Here is a 17,337-nt window from a genome sequence, read left to right on the forward strand (position 1 = left end):
ACCCCTGCCTCTACAAAGAACTTAAAAATTAGCCAGGCCTGGTGGTGTGCACTTATTGTCTCTAAATGCACCTATACTCAGGAGGCTGAGGCAGGAGGATCACTTGAGCCTAGAAGTTTGAGGGTACAGTGAGCTATGATTACACCACTGCACTCCAGCCTGGACAGCAGAGTGAGACTCTATCTATAAACGAACAAACAAACAATAATAACATAATAATAAACATATAATAATAAACAAGCAATAATAAAGTAAAAATGAAAAGAGCGACACCTCCTTTGAGTAATGCTAAGTGTTCAATATTATGCAATGGGTCATTATTTTTAAAGTGACTCTATCATTTTATTAACATCAAGAAATGCTAATAATAATACTTTAAATAATATTTCTTATATCCTCACTTTTAAACATATTTATAGTTTGGTAAGACAACAATCAATTCTAGTTTAGCCTACCTAATGTGTCATTAGTCACAGTATTTTATACCTCACACATAACTTCTCTGTTAGCATGAAGAAAACTACTTATTTTCTTTGAAGCATTGTTTCTTCCAAATATGTTTTTCTCAAAAAAAAACCTTCTTTAGAACTTTCAAGATGGAATGCTGATAAGCATATTGACTCAAAAAATAAATAAATATGGCCGGGAATGGTGGCTCAACCTGTAATCTCAGCACTTTGCGAGGCCGAGGCTGGAAGATCATGAAGTCAGGAGTTTGAGACTGGCCTGGCCAGCATGGTGAAACCCCATCTCTACTAAAAATACAAAAATTAGCCAGGTGTGGTGGCAGATGCCTGTAGTCCCAGCTACTCGGGAAGCTGAGGCAGGAGAATTGCTTGAACCCAGGAGGCAGAGGCTACAGTGAGCCGAGATCAAGCCACTGCACCCCAGCCTGGGTGACAGAGCAAGACCCTGTATCAAAAATAAATAAATACACAGACACCCTCCACAGACACACGTACCACAAAATGGAAAAGGAATAATTAAGATTTCCATATTATATTTAACATACTTGACAAAAACAAACAAAACTACCCAAAGGCAAAGAGAAGTGTTCTCTACATTTTCATTTCATGAAATCTGTGATTCATGGAGGAGATTGCAAAATACACTGCATTATAGAGAAAGTGACAGAATGAGGCAATACTCTGGAATTGACAAATAAAGAAAAGCACAAATGTAAGATGAATTTAATATCTTGAAATGAGAAGATCTTGGTGCCAAGAACACCATCGGGCCGCCTGGCACGACTGAGGAAGTGTGAGATCACAGCAGGGTCATGGCACAAAGCGTTCGGCTTAAGGTTGAAGATTCAGAAATCAAATTCGGTGAGAACTCACCAGGATACAGCTGTCAAAACCATCCTTGGAGGTGCCAGTTGATTCCTTCAAAATAAATTCATTCGGGTTGCGCGAGGTGGCTCATGCCTGTAATCCCAGCACTTGGGAGGCCGAGGTAGGCGGCTCACTTGAGGTCAGGAGTTCGAGACCAGCCTGACCAATATGGTGAAACCGCATCTGTACTAAAAGCACAAAAATTAGCCAGCCGTGGTGGCGGGCGCCTGCAATCCCAGCTGCTCGGGAGGCTGAGGCAGGAGAATCGTTTGAACGTGGGAGGTAGAGGTTACAGTGAGCGGAGATCGCACCATTGCACTCCAGCCTGGGTGACAAGAGGGAAACTCCGTCTCAATAAATAAGTAAATAAATAAAAATAAATAAATAAATAGATAGATTTGTTCTCAGTCTAAAGACAATTCTGAGCGGCCCAGAGATGACCCACTTGAGAACACACTCTGTTGTAGGTGTGAAAGAGAAAGAGGAGAGAAAAGCAGAGAGACAGAGAAAGGTGAAAAGAGGGGAAAAGGAGATAAAGAAAAGTCAAATGTCAGCAAACCGAGAAAGGTTTGGTTCACTGCATGTAGCATCAGACCCGTGGGGGGACCAGGAACAAGCATTGGGTTCCCGAAGGGCGATGGGCATCCACGGCTCATCTTTAAGTGAAGAGTGCGCTGGCGGGACTGTGAGGCTTGAATGAGGTGTGACACGCAGCTCTAAGCACGGCACGCAGTAGTCTCCGCTCACTGCGGGTCTGTCATCAAAAACACTATCTCCATCCTGGGAGGCAGGAACTCCGACCGCCGAGGTCTTCGTTAGACAAATCTTCCTGAATTTTTCAGCTTTTCTTTTTTTTTGGCTGCATAATTGTTCTAACGCATTTGGTTGCTTTCTTGTGCTGCTGCTTCTGGGACTTCTCTAGGCTAATTCATTGCACCCTAAATAACTCCACTCATGATCAATAATTGCTATGAACCTATATTTTCATCATAGTTGTATGTATATAATTGTGAAAGTTGTAAAATCAAGATGGAGTCACTAATGTTAAGAAAACCCTGACAAACGGAGTCTGCGAAGGCCATGAAGACAGCGTTCTCATGCTTGTGTGCCTGATAACCAAAAAGACTCTACAAAAAAACACAACTTTACACAAAGCCTATCCATGGAAACCTTACACAAAAAATACTTCTGCAAGGACATCTGCCCAGCAATTGCCTGTCCAAATTCGGGCTGGCGTCACCTCTGGTAGTAATCTTTGTAGCCAAGATTAATTATCTCAAAATAATTATGAAATCCTCATTTTTTTCTCTGTAAAAATCTTTTTCTTCTTTTACTTTCCTGAATAAGCACATAGGTTACTATGGTGTACGGATTCTCATGGCAATGCCCTATTCCCAAATAAATATCATTTTATTTTAGACAGCCTCCTTCTGTTTGTTATTTAGGTTGATATAATTGTCAAAATAAATGCAGGATTTGTGTTCTATTTTGCTCGCCTTCAAGCATATATAAGCCTTGGGAGACCAGTACTGGAGAAGAGGGGAGGAGAATACTCAGGGGCGACCCTGCACAGCTCATGCTTTGGAACAAGGACACAATGAACAGAACTGATTGAATTGTAGGCCTGACTCTGCACTTACTGGCATGGGGAACTTGGCAGCTCACTACATCTATGCCGTCTCACCAGTCCAAATTACAATAGGGGAATACTTAGAACTAACTTTTTGGCATTTTTGCAAAGAACACACATGATATCTCATTAGCATATAGTAAGTACCCCAAAATAATCAGCCATTGCACAATAATGCTCACACTCAACGTGCAGTTATCAACACATGTTTGAATTTATTATATGAGAAAAGGATGAACTTTTAGTAGAAATGAAAATGTCTAAGTCAATGCCTCCTCTTGAACTGTCTAAAAAAGACAGGAGAGAAGCTTCCAGAAGGACAGCATGTTTCTCCCCTCTTTAAACATCCAGGATGGGAAGGAAGAAGCCATATGTAATCATCATTTTTTTTCTTTAAAAAGCCTTTGTCTTCCTTTACTTCCCTAAACAAATGTGTAACTTACTATGTTGTACGTATTCTCATTTCAATGACCTATTCCCAAATAAATAACATTTTCTTTTTGAAAGCCTCCTTCTGGGAGGCTTGGCTGAGCTGAGCACGCAACGTGCAGCGTGCCAGAACTCTGAGGAGCCACAAAAGCTACCAGCAAAAGAGTAACAGAGGAGCAACAGCCTGGGGAGAGGCTGAGAGGAGGCAGGAGGAGCTTGTGATGAGACGGAGAGTGCAATCCCAATGGGAAGAAAGAGACTCAGCGTGACAAGGCCTGGATGCCTGTGGCTCCTCGTGCAGGCTGGAGACAAGCAACGCCAGCGGATCGAGCTTTGCGCATCTGAAAGACCTCAACCAAAGCTGCAGAGCCTTCGCTGTGTGATCCGTCTGGGAACAGGAGTGACGAGTGACCGCGGCTCCCTTGGATGCTGTTTCTGCTGAGGCCATGGAGCGGGGACAGGAAAGCAGAGCTGAGTGTCGGTCTCTGGCAATAGCAAAGCAGGAGCTTTCCACGTACCCACCGTCATCCAAAATAGCACTCCATTCCACAGGTTTCTGCAAACCAAGGGCTCGGTCCATGGGCGTGAGGAAAGGAGGCAGCAAAATATTCCATCAAATTGTGCTCAGGTCTGTGGAATTTCCCTTTGGGGTTCATAGCCAAAAAATGTGGATTTGATGAAGGAAATTAAATCATTGGTAGGGGGTTGATTTCCAACCAATTTTTAAGTTTATAACAGCAATGATGCTCTTTTGTGAGATATGGGAAGTCACCTGTCTTGGTGAAATATTTACCATCCAAGTAAATATTGAACATTAGCAAGCAAGTCCAACTTTTTTTTTTGAGAAAGGGTCTTGCTCTGTTGCCCAGGCTGGGGTGCAGTAGTGTGATCATGGTTCACTGTAACCTGGAACTCCTGGGCTCAAGCGATCCTCCCATCTCAGCTTCCTGAGCAGCTGGAACTGCAGGCACATACCACCACACCTGTCTAATTTTTGTATTTTTTGTAGAGATGGGGTCTCACTATGTTGCCCAGTCTGGTCTCAAACTCCTAGGCTCAAACAAATCCTCCAACCTCAGCCTCCCAAAGTTCTGGGATTACAGATGTGAGCCACCAGGCCTGGCCCTAAATTTTTACTACCTTCAAAATATATTAATCTTGCCCCTTCTGATGCTTTTTAATAATATTATAGTACAGTCCTTGTCACTTAATGAGAGGAATACATTCTGAGAAATGCATTGTCGGTTGATTCCATGGTTGTGTAAACATCACAGAGTGAATTTTATACAAGCCTGGATGGCGTAGCCTACCACACACCAGGTTTACCCATTGCTCCTAGGTCATGCACCTGTGCAGCATGTGGCTGTACTGAATACCATAGGCAATGGTAACCAATTTGTGTATCTAAACAGATCTACACATAGGAAAGATACAGCAACAATATGGTATTATAGTCTCATGGGACCCTGTTCATATCTGCTGTTCATCATTGACGACATATGGCTGCGTTAAAGAGTCTACTTCTCAGATGATGTTGCCTGGGCAGGTTCGTGCTAACAGAATGATTTCCAGTACTCCAGAGCTTAGTTTCCAAAGATACACTCTTTTTAAGGACGTTTTTTTTCTTCAATTTTAATTAATGGTTGTCTGTTTGATAAACCTGGTCCTCTGGAGATAGAAACGCAGAGTCAATTCTACGGCATATAGTGCCAAAGAATGAACTGGCAACAAAAATAAAAGCAAATGAACGAATGGATGAGGAGTTCTGCAGTGGGGAGCGATGTCTATATCATGACTGAGCATGCAATGTGGCAGTCATGTGAGGCGGGTTGCATTTGCCTGGGTAGTGGCCTTGTTCTGTCTCTTCCTGTCTTAGCTACTGATATTCTACACATACATCCCTTCAAATTGGTTTCTAAATCCCTAACTTGCTGCCTTTCCTCACAGTTTGGAGCTTTCTTCTGGTCTTAGGCCTCTGGAGGGTGAAACTCTGGCCACCCGTCAATATCCCAGGAAGAGGGCTGGGAGTTCCTGCAATGACTTTTTATATGGTCAGTGTGAAATCAGTCCCCTGAAAAGATACCTTCAAATGTCGTAAAGAAGAGGCATTAACTGCAAAGTTCAGGTCGACAAATCTTTAAGGGAGGCAAGGTCCTGAGTCTTCATCTATAACTAGGTGAAGATGTGGATTAGATTTTGCCAGAATCTCCAATGACTCAAGTGTGCTAAGAAGAGAGATACCGCTTTTATCTTTTGTGAATCTCTTGTGGGGATGACGCAAAACATAAAAGTTAAGTGGCTCTTTCTTGAAAAGGTTCTTCTCTACTGTTGCCAATTACAACACGAATTATTTTCCACGTCCTCTTCTTTCTCTTCCCCAGGAAATGCATTGCTCATTTGAAATGACTTCTCACACACAGACCAGAACAGCTAGGAAATGAGTGTGCGACGGAGGGCATTTGCTTGCTGATTCATGTCCTCGTGTGTTTCAGAAGCTACTCTGTGCACACTGGGAACATGCCCTCTTATCTGAGAAAAACCTTGACTTGACTGTTCTGAGATGATTCTGCCCTGACTGGGCCACTCGGTGCCACTGAGAGCGCTTTTATGAGATCCTGCACTTGATAAAAGAAGCCAGGGGACTTAGGAACAGATGGTATCTTAGTCCCTTTTGCATTGCCATAAAGGAACACCTGAGGCCGGGTAATTTAAAAAGAAAAAAGGTTTATTTTTGCTTACGGTTCTGCAGGCTGTACAAGCATGGCATCAGCACTGGCTTTTGGTGAGGCCCAGGAAGCTTTTAACCACAGCAGAAGGTGAAGGGGGAGCCTTCCCATGGCAAGAGAGGGAACAGGAGAGAGAGGAGGAGGTGCCAGCCTCCTTTAAACAACAGCTCTTGATTGAACTCAAAGCAAGAACTCATTCATCACCAAGGGGAGGGCACCAAGCCATTCATGAGTGAGTGCCCCCATGACCCATGCATCTCCCTCCAGGCCCACCTCCAACACTGAGGACACAGGGCCACGTTTCAACATGAGATTTGGAGGAACACATCCCAACCACGTCAGCCAGCAGTAATAAAATGCCCACAAACAGCTGTGGGAACCACGCTGTCACTTCTGCCCCCTGCCAGCTCCCAAGCCCTGGAAATATAACAGCATGTGCATGGAAGGAAGACCCACGCGAGCATACGGTAGCACACCAGGTAAGTGAAGGCCTGGCTCTGGGGAGGCCAGGGCCACAGTGAGGTTTCTCAGCCTGGCTCCACCTCCAAGAACAGAGTGCACTGAGGTCACAGTGAGACCATAGCCCTGGAACTGGCGGAACCCAGAAGGGGACAAAACAAACCTGGTCTTCCCCAAAATTGCTCATGCTTTAAGTTGTGAGAGGGATCCTGGTGTCATCAGGACCTGAAGAAGAGCATCCCAGTCCTGAAGGCCAAATATTCCCAGGTGAACAGAGCGCCGGCCACCTGTCATTGCACCCTCCTAATGCCCATCTCCCCAAGCCACAGAGACCAGCAGACCCTGGGAAAAGCCCCCGAGGCTGCCGAGATCAGGCATCAGAGCAGGCACAAGGGCTGTGTCAGTCCATTCTCATGCTGCTGTAAACAACTACCTGAGGCTGGGTAACTTATAAAGAAAAAGGTCTAATTGGCTTACAGTTCTGCAGGCTGTGCGGAAGCATGGCTGGGAGGCCTCAGGAAACTTACAATCATGGTGGAAGACGAAGGGGAAGCAGGCACGTCTTCCATAGCCAGAGCAGCAAGAAGAGGGCAAAGGGGGCGGAGCCACACACTTTTAAACAACCACATCTCGTGAGCACTCACTCACTATCACGAGAACAGCAAACAGCAAGGAGGAAATCCGCCCCCATGATACAGTCCCCTCCCACCAGACTTCTCCTCCAACACTGGGGGTTACAATTAGACATGAGGTTTGGGTGGGGACACAAATCCAAACCACGTCAGTGGCTGTGCTGGCTCCTCTAGTCCACGCCCTGGATGCTCAGAGCCATTCCTCCTGCCACGGGCGTCCTTCAGATGACCCTGCTGGCCGGCGGAGCCTGGAGAAACCAAGGCACTCACACCTGAGAAACTTCAGCCTCCTTCAGCTGTGACTTATGGCAGCGGCAGGGCCTGCTGTCAGCGGATGAGGGACAGCTCCGTAAACCAGCCACAACGAGTCCTATTTTTCGACTGTCTGTCATGGTGACTAATCACAGCTCCTTGCTCTCTTCTCCACCTCATTTTCAAGTGACTTCTTTTTTTCTGCAATTCATAAATCCTCACTTTCATGTAAGGCCTCTATATGATACTTTATCAAATGCTTTTTGAAAGCCTCGGCAGAAAATATCACCCATGTCCTGGGCTTCTTTCTCTCAGCTCTTTCTTCAGTAATGGAATCAATTTTTTAAAGAGGGAGACACACAGTGTGTTGGGGGTAGACTTTGCCTCCCTCGGAGGATCTCAGAGAACTTAATGCCAAGTCTGTGTAGCTCACCCACATCCTTTGCCTCTTGAGAAAGGAGAACATACATTCTAGATTCTTCCTGCAGTGCAAACCTCTACTTCCATGAAATCTTTTAACTGTTACTCTCCCAAATATTCTCTATTCCAAAGAGGTGGGAAGCATGTGTTGTCTGTACAGCATGAAAACAGAGAGGCATAGAGAAAAAGCTGCTGTGACACAGGCCCCCTGCAAGGCTGACCTCCCATCTCTTCCATTACCCTTCCCGAGGAGCAAAGGGCTTCTCCCCAGCAGCTGTGACCAGAAGACCACAGCCTGGACGTGCCCTGTCCTCCCTCCCAGGCCCTTCCAGCCTCTGTCACAGGCAGAGGTGGGAACTGAAAACTCAGAGCTGCCCGGAGTCGAGGATGCTGCTGCTGCTGCCAGGTAGGTTTAAAAACAAAGAATTGCCCTGGAACCCTCTTGCTTCCTCGCCGCCTAGGATCCCAGGACCCCGCAGCACTGCTCTCTGATGCTTTTGCCATTCGCCTGTGTTATCCATGAACAGAAGGACGTCAGTGGGCGTTGTCCTGAGCACTGTGGAGGTACCCAGGGGAAAAGACCAAAGCTTCCACCCTCAAGGAGTTCAGGACTAATGCCAGAGACAGAGGAGGGGATGACAAACCCAACAGCAGGTGTCAGGAGAGGTCTCCAGGGCGCCCCGGGAAGACCATGCTGGGAAATGCAGCCTGCCCTGGGCCAAGGACTGTGACCCACAGAGAGATCACTGGTGCTGCTTTCCTCTTAGCCCATCTCTGCCTTTTGTTCACCATCTCCAAGTGCAAGCCAAGCTCTTCCCTCACTCTCCATCCATCCATGAGGGGACAGGCAGGGCAGCTCCTGACAAGACCGTCACCCTTAACTGTCCATGCATTAGGTGGGTGAGCAGGACGAGAGAACTTGCCTGTGCGTCCAGAAACCAGCCAAGTTCACATTTAATTCACTTAGATTATCTCACACTTAAAAAAAATACAAAGAGCTAAATTCACTGCCTGATGAAGAGACAAGAGATTTTTTTTAACATTCTTTATTTTTTATGTGCCTAAGTTTTGTCTCATTAACATTCTTTAAAAATAGCTCTACGTTAGCCTTTCTATGGACTGGATAGGAGCCTGTGACAATGGCACAGTGATTTGGGGGCCGATTTTCCTTAAATACCTCTCCCATGAGATGGTGAATGCTTTTGCTACGTGGAAGCTTCAGGACTGTCTAGTCCGAACAAGCTGCATAAATGGAGGGATTCTTACCATCCGACCTGGTCTAATGTCTGCCTGATCAAGATTCCTCGGTGGCTCGTGGTTCTGACTGATTGGGCCTTCTCAGTAAGATCTCCTATCACAACAGGGAACATTCAGAATGGCCTCCGACCAGCACTGCCTGCACTTCCTTTATTAAACCCCTTTGTTGCAGCTTTATTATTTAGCTGTAAAAATCAGTGTGAGCTAAAGCTCAAGCTACAAGCCGCAGAGAACTTTAAAAAAAATCATTTAAACTGCATTTTCAGGCACTGGAGGATTTAGAACATTGGGAACTTATAATGACAGAAAATAATACCCAGCCCTTGTTTCAATTTTCTGCTTAACCCTGGTGTCCAGGAAAAAAGTTTCTATTTTTCTAAAGTATTGTCACTGGATTAGTCCATTTTCACACTGCAATGAAGAAATACCCAAGACTGGGTAATTTATAAAGAAAAAGAGGATTAATAGATTCACAGTTCATCATGATTTGTCCCAGTGACATAACGGCAACTGATTCCACAAGCAACATAATTAAATAGTAAAAATGTTCGGTAAAGAATGTAAGTGGTAACTCTTAAGTTTTACCGCTTTCAGCACCTACAATCCTCCTAATTATTGACATAGGTGTTTATTAGTCCATTTTCATACTGCTATGAAGAAATACACAAGACTGGGTAGTTTATAAAGAAAAGGAGGTTTAATGGACTTACTGCTTCAGGTGGCTGTGGAGGCCTCACGATCATGGGGGAAGGTGAAGGGGAACAAAGGCATGTCTTACATGGTGACAGGCAAGAGAGTGTGTGCAGGGGAACTGCCCTTTATAAAACCATGAGATCTCATGAGACTTAGTCACTATCACGAGAACAGCATGAGAAAGCCCACTCCCATGATTCAATTACCTCCCACCGGGTCCCTTCCATGGCACATGGGGATTATGGGAACTACAGTTCAAGAAGAGATTTGGGTGGGGACACAGCCAAACCATATCTGTCACTCTATGGAAAATATTCTTTTTTTTCTAAATCTTTGATTATCTCTCCAAATGATACATTAGTTATTTAGAACATTTAATATGTGTATCTGGAAATAAATTAACTTTTTAATATGTATATCTGGAAATAAATCAGCTTTTCCATTAACATGGTCACATGTTTAGCTTAGTGAAGTAAGCACGAACCAGAGAGTGGTTAAAGTCTAGACTAGCGTTCTCCCAAGTGTGGCCCATGGAGTGTGTCTATCCCAACACCTCTGTGCCTGCCGTGACCTTCAGAATGACCAGCTCTAGAGTGGAGCTGGAGTTTAGCAGCTGCACAGAAGACCGGCATGCTGCTGAAGCTTGCAATGCAGCATGCTGCTGACCCCCTGCTCAAGCTGAGCTCTGCTCCTTGCCAGGGAGCCCCGCCCATACTCTGGAACTCAGTTCCCTGAACCACTCCCCGCTCTGAGCTTGGGTTCCGATCATGCAAAATTCTCTTCTCTCTGAGGTTCCCTTGAATTCCTCCCTTCCCTTTTCCGCCTTCACCTTTGTGAATGTCCCATTCCAGTTTCTGTTCCTCTGCCTCTTCCAAAGACCTTCATTCTCTCAACACTACTTTACTCACCCAAGTTTTCCCCCAAACCCTGTGACATGCATTATTCCCATGTTCTTTTCCTAATATTTCCCTATAACTTTTAGGACTTTTCTATCTTACCCCCATGTATCACTGGCATTTTATTACGTGGTGTGATAATCGTGGTGGTTTTAAATTAGAGGTATTTACAAAGCTACACCTAGCACATATTAAACACGGATAAAGACGCACCTGGAACACTTCCCTCCTAGCCAGCTCTGCACTGACAGCCCAGGAGAAAGAAGAGGACTGGCTGGCTCTTCTCCCCAGCTGGCTGGGGACTCCAGGAAGCCCAGGAATGGTGAAGAAGCCGAGGACGGGGACTCTGTCCCGGACAGTCCTGCAGCCAGACAGTGCTCCCTGTCAAAGTCCCTCTGTGTCACTAAGATGCCGGGACTCGTCCACTTTCTGTCCTTTCTGCACTTGAACCCCCACACTGACTTCACAAGTACTGAGGTGGGTCACATGAACAAGTGCAGCAAAATGAGATGATAAGGAAGGAAACAAGGTCACCCCTCTTGAATCCAACCTTCCATCTCACCCCAAAGGCATGACTTCTCTACTGCTTTGTCCATTATCTTCAAACCTTTCCCTAGTGCGGTTTCTTCCCCGCCCTACTCTCAGCTGATGACTGTGGCTCCGACCTCACTGAGAAGTGGGAGCCATTGGGAGAACTGCTCAGTGCCCTCCCCACATCCACAGCCTCCCAGCGTGTCCCTGGGCTCTGTCCCTCATGCTATGGGTGTGTTCCTCATGTTTCCAAGCCAAGGACAACTCCGCCCACCTCTGTAGCTCAGTCAAGAGCAGTACTTGGCAATTGCCCCTGCTCCCTCATGTCAGAAATCTCCTTTGCACCTGTCATTCCTTCAGAGTAAAGTGTTATCCTTTCCCCATCTTAAAGAATATCTCTCTTCACCTCATTCCCGCTCTCACCCCATTTCTTTGCTCCCTTTTGCAACAATGATCCTCCCAAGAGAGGTCCTCCTTGGGTGTCTCTGATCACCCTCCTCCCTTTTTTCTTTACACCTCTTAGTCCAGCACTGAGTAGTTTCACATCCTCACTCCCTCCTACCTTCTCAGTGAGACCTACCTGACTGCCTGCTCCAGGACTGAACTCCACCAGGGCAACCCTCCCTGCATGCCCAAACCCCAGTGCCATTTTCTTTCGCATAGAACTTACTGCCATTGAACATACTGTGCGTTTTTCCCTACCGGGTGTAATTTCATTCATTCATCCCTAGTCCCTCAGGCAGTGTCTGAAACAATAGATTATTTAAGTTAATAAACACCAGGCTAAGGAATAAATGGAATACTGTTGTTCAGCCCCCTTCCCATCCCGCTTCCAAACATCCCATTAAAATCCATATTCATAATACACACAGCAATTATCAAGAGAGGCAAAAAGAAAGCTGAGAGCATTACTAATTAAACTGTAGGATTCTAGGACCCCCTGGGAGATTGCAGGTTATAGAGTACCTCAAGTCTATTCATCTGGATAGCGATATTCTAAGACAAGTAGGTCTCATACCAAATGGAGTGAGAGTTGCAAGTCAACTAAGCCCCTCACACAACAAACACAATCCAAGAAGAAATTCTTCCTGCATGTGGAAAGGAGTGCTGTTCACCCTCAAAGCAGATCCTAGTTAATGCACTGAGAATTCAGAGAAGCTTCCAGGCAAGAAGAGAGAGAAGAGAGGTCACGGCAAAGGCTCCTGCTCCTTTCTTTGGGGATTCACTGCGGCTTATCTGACTCTATTTCCGAGCTCCCTCTGGTAGACCAGGACTGTGCCAGTGTAACACAGAGGTCTGTTTATTCCCTCACCCAAGCAGCCAACACCAAAGTGTGGAGAGAAATGCAGAAGGCGGTCTCTGCGCCCCGAGAAACCCCATCTAATACAGGTCTGTCCCGCTGCAGACCCACCCAGCTACCTGTTTGAAAACAGGGTACACAGGCAATGAGTTTACAACTTGTTTATTGAATAAACAACCATAAATGCAACAAAACACCAGGGGCCTGATATCCTCTTCACATTGTTATAAACCTCCGTCTTTGTGTTTTTTGTTTCCATTCCTATTCTTAGTTTTATTGTCCTTTCTAGAGTTGGAATGAACCCCAGAGGACCCCTTGGTTTTAACTAAAATTCTCTCTCTACTTCTATAACACTTAAGCTAAACAGAGAAAATAATAGGAAATGATACTCACATTTTCCATGTCTACTCCAAGAGTTACAAGACAAGACACACATGTTCATCCCAGGGATAAAAAATGTCTCTGGGATAATTAGCAACCATAGCATCACCCTTGGGGGTGTCTTCTGGATTAAATATTCTATAAGGGTGGTACTTCTTGTTTTTAACCCAGACAAATCAGAAAACAGATACTACTGAGCCTGCTGTTCTGAGGCCCAATGGGGGACCCCAACTATGCAATAGAAACAGACTGACCGGATCCCCAAGACAGAACTAATATGTGGATAGTGACTTGGAATTTCCTCTAAAAGTGGAATTTCCTAAATACAGACACCATAAAAACCATGCTTCATAAGACAATTATTTAAAGAGTGTGTCTTTGCTTCTTTTATTCATGCTCAGCTGTGCTTTCTGTCTTCTGCCAATCCCCGGCACCAAAGAGATATTTTTCTGGGTTTAATTTATGGACTTTCCATTATGAAAACCATAGCGATACGTACTTTTCTCAAACTAAACACCACCCATTGGAGAATCTGCAGGTCTCTCCTCCCTTCCCAATTGAGAACTACTAATTAAACCAGAGATCACATACGTGAGAAAAACCTCCTTTTACCTTGAAAACCTCCATTGATGTGGGCCCTTCTGTACATAATTGAATCTGGGACACCCATTAATTGTTGGTCACAATAACTTATGGACACCTGCGTGCGAATAATATTCCACCCGTGAGTGTGCGAGGACGGAAAGGAAGTGAAGATACATCCAAGCTCTGAGGAACTCACCCTCAGCTCAAGGACAGACATGCACTGATGACAGAGCTCCTTAGAGCCTCACAGCAGCCAGAGGATGAAGAAGAACAGGTGCAGTGCAAGCTTATCACATGACAGGGCTCCATAGTGACGTTGACACGATGGACCGTGCTTCCTTCAGATCTCCTTCTCTCTGCCGCACTCGGCTTAGTCTTCCCAGATTACTGAATGACTGTCCTGCTCACCTCCCTCCGTCCATTCATTCCCCTGGCTCTGCCTGCTCTCCAATGTGGCTTCCAGTGTTGTGCTTCTGAAACTCAAGTCTGATGGTGCCACTCCACGGCTTAACACTCCTCCCTTTCTCCCCCTGCTGCCACAGGAGATGAAAAAAGTCCTGTATCTAGGTGGGGTGGATCTTATGCAAGTTGGCTACTATGAGAAAAACAACAGCCTGAGCTCAATGGCAACTAGCAAGTAACCCTTGGCCTCCCTGCTGGAGGGACAGTGTGGAGGGAGAAAACTGTGGCAAGCCAGGAGCATTCCTTCAGCCCCAAGGAGGAGGCAGCTGCGCAACACCTGTCAAGTACTGTCGGGGAAACATCTGGACCTACAATGGCCACATTCTTTTTTTTATTTCTCAAGAAATACTAGTAATCTGAATTTTTAAATTAAAATATCTAGAGTTTTTAAAAGTTGGAAGTTAATTAAATAAAGTTAAAATACTATGAGTTAACTTCAAGCACACAAACAAATCACAGCTGTGGGCCAGGTACCTGGTTTGTTACCTCTAACCTGCAAGAGTAAGTCAGACCACCTTAGCACATGCCCCAGTTCCCTCCAGGCCGTGAACGGCTTTTCATCATCTGATGCCAGCCAGACGCTCAGAATCAGCTAACCCAGCACAGTGTGTACAAACACAATCACACACACACACGCAATCACAACACAAACACACATACACAATCACACACACACAATCACACAAAAACACCCACACACAATCACACACACAACCAAATACACAATCCCACACAGACACGCACACAATCACACACACACACAACCAAATACACAACCCCACAGAGACATGCACAGTCTCTCACACACACACACAACCAAATACAGAACCCCACACAGACATGCACACAATCTCTCTCACACACAGACACAATCACACACATACAAACACACACATAATCTCACACAGACACACACACCTACACAATCACACACACAATCACACACAAACACCCACACACAATCACACACAACCACACAATCCCACACAGACACGCACACAATCACACACACACAACCAAATACACAACCCCACACAGACATGCACACAAGCTCTCACACACACACACACAATCACACACATACAAACACACACATAATCTCACACAGACACACACACCTACACAATCACACACACACAAACACACAGTTTTTCCTCCCACCCCATGAAATGACTTAGGGTCCTGCTGCTCCATGCCTTCCACGTTTTGCTCTGAGAGCCACCGTCCTCCCTGCTCCCCGCAGGAGGCTGATGCGCCTTCTTTTAAGTCGAAGCGTCACTAGGAGGGTTGGCCCATATGGATGCCCCCTCCCCTCTGCAGATCTGCCCACTTCCTCCTTGGGACTTCTGCTGGCCGTAGACCCTGCAGTCCATTCCTGCACCAGTTTGCGTCTACTCATTTATTCTCCTTCTGGAGAACCTCCTGATACGCAGTCAGTTTTGTATTTCCTTTTTTTTTTCCTTTGAGATGGAGTCTTGCTCTGTTGTCCAGGCTGGAGTGCAGTGGCGCGATCTCGGCTCACTGCAACTTCCACCTCCCAGGTTCAAGTGATTCTCCTGCCTCAGCCTCCTGAGTAGCTGGGATTACAGGCATGGGCCACCACGCCTGGCTAATTTTTGTATTTTTAGTAGAGATGGGGTTTCATCATGTTGGCCAGGCTGGTCTTGAACATCTTATCTCAGGTGATCCACCTCCCTTGGCCTCCCAAAGTGCTGTGATGACAGGCTTGAGCCACCGATCCCAGCCTTGACCTTTCCAGAGTTAGTATTTCATCAAACCATTTGACAAAACTCAATTCTGTCTTTTAAAATATGTCAGGTATTTTTTTCCCATTAGAGCATAGAATGGTGATTATCAAGGTGGGCTCTGGAAGTCACCTGCCTGGGTTCACAACAATCCATCTGTGGAGCCTTGAACAAAATATTGAACTTCTCTGTGTCTTGGTTCCTCATGCCCAAAATAGTAGTAATTCGAGTCTATCGTGGTAGACAGAATAAATGCTCCACAAAGATGTCCTCATCCCTGGATCCCGTGGATCTGTTACCTTCTGCGGCAAAACGGATTTTGCAGGTGTGATTAAATGAACCACCTTGAGATGGAGAGATTATTTTGGATGACCACGATGGGCCCAATTTAATCACTTGACCCCTTAATTTAGAAATAGTGATGAACACATCAGTCAGACTCAACCAAACCAAACTAATGAGAAATGAAAAGCACCAGGAAAAATAAGAAAATTAAGAAAATGAGGATATGAGGATGCGACATGAGCCATCAATGGCAGGAGTAAGTTGTACGGAAATGTGAATGTTTAACGTCGTTGGAAATGAAACCAGTGGATACATCAGCAGTAGGAACAAATAATTTATAGCATTTTCTTTACTCACTTTTGCCCCAAAATATCCATCTATTCAATGATATCAAAAGGAGAAGCCTGTCAAAATCTGAGAGATGTATCTGTGTAAGTCAGTTGAGCCTCCTGATAAGAAGTCCTGTAGAGATCCCATGTGTTATTTGCTGCCAGGGAAAAAAATGGCGAGGTCAATGCAGAAAGGCTGAGCATTGGAAACCCGTGTTTCTCAGAGTCCTGGTTGCACTGGTCGGCCCTGTGACCGTTCTGGAAACCACACAAGCACGCATAGACAAGGGGGACACAGAGGTTCCCTGAGTGCTGGGAAAAGTGTTTCTCTGTCGACATGAAACTGTATTTCTAAAGAAGGCTGAAGAATGTGCTTCCTTAAAACAATTTGCTTCTTGCCATGTTTTTACCTACGTCTCTATGATCGTCCCTGGTATCACACCAAATCATCCCACACACCATAAGCACCCGCAGCAGGCACCAAGCCCCAACCTGCAGCTGCTCTGCAGACGAGCTTCAGACAGGAGTTCAGGAAGCTGCGGTCTAGATTATGTGTGGCTGACACTTCTGCCTCACACGACACGCTGTTGGAGTTTCTCCCTAGGTGTCGAGCCTGAGAGATGATCAAAATCTGCCAAGAAACAGTTTATCTATCCTGCCCAGACAGATAAAGGCTTTGTCAACGTCCCTTGGATGGTTTAATCAGATGTCTTTGAATGTGCAAGAGAGAATAAAATCTGCCTAATAAACATGTCTCGCTTAAAAACTCTGTAATAGCTCAATATTTGTTTCCTTTTCTTCCTTGGACTTTTTAAAATGCCTTTGAAAGCCTCTGTTTGAAGCGAGGATGCTGAAGTTTCCCGGCTCAGCGTGGGCCGCAGATGAGAGCAGAAGCCACTCTGCTGAGCCCACTCTCCTCTTTGGCCTGAGAGATAAGGCTCCATGGAAAGCCGCAAGCCAGCCTGAAATCTAAGAAGACGTGCAACTCAGA

This window comes from Homo sapiens, chromosome 10 (genome assembly GCF_000001405.40).
Source record: "Homo sapiens chromosome 10, GRCh38.p14 Primary Assembly".
NCBI lineage: Eukaryota > Metazoa > Chordata > Mammalia > Primates > Hominidae > Homo > Homo sapiens.